Below are 3,245 nucleotides of genomic sequence, written 5' to 3'. Positions count from 1 at the left end.
GTCTCCCAGGCTAGCACTCTCCTCCGATGACCTAAGATCTATTTTTATTCTGCAGTGCCTTGTCTAAGAGCAAATCAGTTCTCCTTGCTCAAATAGCCAGTCACATTTCAGTATTGTGTAGTCTAATTATTTCCCAAATGATAAACAATGAGCTACCATTTAGCCAGTGCTTACAAGAGCCAGACTGTCCTGCATGCTTTATGTAGCGGGCTTAGCACTTGAATCGCCTGACTTGACCGCTTACTAGCTATGTAACCTCAGGGAAATTTACTTAGTCTCTACAACCTCAGTTTCCTCACCTGTTTGCTGGGGACCACCCCGTTGTGACGGATTATTGTCCTGAGGATGAATGTGATACACAGTTCTAAAGCAGGAGCCCACACCAGTTGAGGCTGATTAGCTACTGCCACAGCTGAATATCCAAACTGCCAGCAACAGAGACCAACACTGAGTCCCCAGTATGGCACCATACCTTGAGGAGACCAACCAGCCATTTAATGACAAGCTGTCTTTGCCAGACTTCTGTCCTGCAAGGTCAGTGGTTTATTTTCATAGAAATCGATGTGTGCCTTGAGTATGGCTTTGTCTTTTCTGAACACACCCAGCGTCATTATCTGATAGACTTTTAAAGTGTTTGCTCCATTGGCACAGGGTACCATATTAAATCATGACAGACCTGGGGATATACTTCATAGCAATGACATTACAGGAGTGGGGCCATGAGCATGGGATCCATTAGTCATATCCCAGGGTGCATCATTCAAAAACTGCCAGCCTGATGGAGGATTGGAATGGCTTGCTGATGGCACAGTTGTAGCACCAGCTTGGAGGCAATATTCTGGAAAGATGGGATGCTGTCCTCTATATGCATTAAACAAAAGATCTTTCTGTGGTGCTGTGTCCTGATTAGGAAGAATGCACTGATCTAGAGACCAAGACATGGAAGTAGGAATGTCCCCACTTACCAATGCTCTTGCTGATCTTTTGGGAGACTTTGTACAACTCTTAACCTCTGCAAGGTAAGAAGTCCTGGTCCCCAATGAGGGGTACACTTTCATCAGGTGACACAGCAAAAATCCCATTGAATTACATGCTGCAACCTCCACCCAGGCATATTGACAAGAAAAGGCATCACCATCTTAATAGTAATTGACCCCGGTATTTAAAAGAAAGGGAGGCAGACAGATCATGAGATCAAGAGTTCAAGACCAGCCTGACCAACATGGTAAATCCCCGTCTCTACTGAAAATACAAAACTTAGCCGGATGTGGTGGCACATGCCTGTAATCCCAGCTCCTCAGGAGGCTGAGACAGGAGAATTGCTTGAACCCAGGAGGCAGAGGTTGCAGTGAGCCAAGATCATGCCACTGCACTCCAACCTGGGTGACAGAGTGAGACTGTCTCAAAAAAAAAAAAGAAAAAGAAAAAAGAAAGGGAGGCTGTTATTGCACAATGGGGACAGGGAGGAATATGTATGGAACCCAGGTGACCCACTTGGGTACCTCTTGGTATTTCCCTGCTCAATTATTACTGTTAATGAACAGGTATAGACACCCAGGCATGAGAAGATCATGGTGATGAAGGGCTCATAACCTTGTTGATAAGGATCTGGGTTACACTACCAGGTAAGCCAACAAAGGTAGCAGAGTTGGTGACTGTATTAGTTTGTTTTCACACTGCTGTAAAAACAAAAATGCCTGAGACTGGCTAATTTATAAAGGAAAGAGGTTTAATTGACTCACAGCTCCACATGGCTGGGAAGGCCTCAATAATTGTACGGACATTTACAATCATGGTGGAAGGGGAAGCAAGGCATGTCTTGCATGGCAGCAGTTGAGAGAGAGCAAAAGGGGAAGAGCCTCTTATAAAACTATCAGATCTTGTGAAAATTCACTCACTATCATGAGAACAGAAGGAAACCGCTGCCATGATCCAATCATCTCCCACCAGGTTCCTCCCTTGACATGTGGGGATTACAATTTGAGATGAGATTTGGGTGGGGACACAGAACCAAACCATATCAGTAACTGAAGGTGAGGGGAATCTAGAATGGACAGTAGAAGAGGAAGAAGGCAAATGCAGAGTGGGCGCCACTAACCTCTATTGTCTTGATCTTCCCTCAGGAAGAGAGGCCTGTGGGAATCCTGGAGGAGCTGCTCCTTGAAAGTATATGGGGAAGTGGATCTAAGTGGCCCCGGGGGAGAACACAGGCATGTTCTCCCAGACTCCTTCCAGGAAGAACTAGCTCTGAGGCAGAGTACAGTCAGCAGAGAGCTTCCAGCTTTCAGCTCTGCCTCAGCGGCAGAGTCAGCTCGAATTCCCACCATTCCTGGGGATGCCTGCATTTACCTGGTTGCTGAGTGACACTGATGGGTATACTCACTCCAGAGCTCTCTGCCAGGTCGGCTGAGGCTTTATGGAGCCTATATTGCAGTTCAAGTTCTTCCTCCACCCATCCTACATCCCCCACACTCCTCTCCCTAATAAATATCTGCACTGCATATTCCATCTCAACACTGCTTCTGAGACTGCTCCCCACCCAATGTGAAAACACGTAAAGGGCTTAGCATGGTTCCTGATACCTTCTCACAAAAACCTGAAATGTCATTGTCTTGAAGTGTGAAAATTCAGCACCAGATGATGCTGGGACCTCCAGCATCAGGTTGGGGCAGAGAGTAGGCTGGCCTCAGCAGGATGGGACTCCTTGAGAGGGCAGCAGTGTGTTGGCTCAGCGATTTGCCAGCTTGGAGGGTGGTGGTGGGACTGGCAGGAATGCCTGGGGACTGCTGGGGTCTGCAGTGTCATTCTAGGCGAGGGATCAGTCTTCTCTGCCCTGGATGTGGAGTACAGTGGAGGCACCTGAGAGGAAAAAGAGGCTGAGAGTTCAGAAGGGGGAACAGGATTCAGCCAAGTCTAAGAGGTTTTGGGCAGATTTTCACTCCCGGTGGAGAAGGGGACATTTTGGCAGAGAAACTGAGGCAGAAGTGCAATCCTATATCTGGGCCAAGCAGAGGGGCTATGCAGGAAGTGGAGGTAGGGAACGCTGGCCACCAAGCAGGGGATTCCTTTCAGAGGACAGTGGCTTATCCCTGAGGCTGCACCCACACTTCCTGTCCTGCTGAGGTGGGTGCTCGGAGGCCCCTGCTGGGAGAAGAGGAGAGCAAGGGTGGGCCAGAGGGGCAGTTCCTGCATAGGAAAGAAAGATCTCACTGCCCCTTCCCTTCTGGACCCCTTTTCTCCTTCCC

At 48.3% G+C, this 3,245-nt stretch overlaps 1 long non-coding RNA gene across 1 annotated transcript; it reads left to right on the top strand.

Annotated features, from left to right (window-relative positions):
* The first annotated feature begins 1,480 nt into the window (after positions 1 to 1,480).
* On the top strand, positions 1,481 to 2,514 carry LOC124902801 (uncharacterized). The gene is made up of 2 exons (XR_007062964.1): positions 1,481 to 1,625; positions 2,124 to 2,514. It is a non-coding gene; the product is annotated as an uncharacterized LOC124902801 (long non-coding RNA).
* The last annotated feature ends 731 nt before the right edge of the window (positions 2,515 to 3,245 follow it).

This window comes from Homo sapiens, chromosome 11 (assembly GCF_000001405.40).
Source record: "Homo sapiens chromosome 11, GRCh38.p14 Primary Assembly".
Classification (NCBI taxonomy): domain Eukaryota; kingdom Metazoa; phylum Chordata; class Mammalia; order Primates; family Hominidae; genus Homo; species Homo sapiens.
This window is presented reverse-complemented; position numbering and strand designations above follow the sequence as displayed.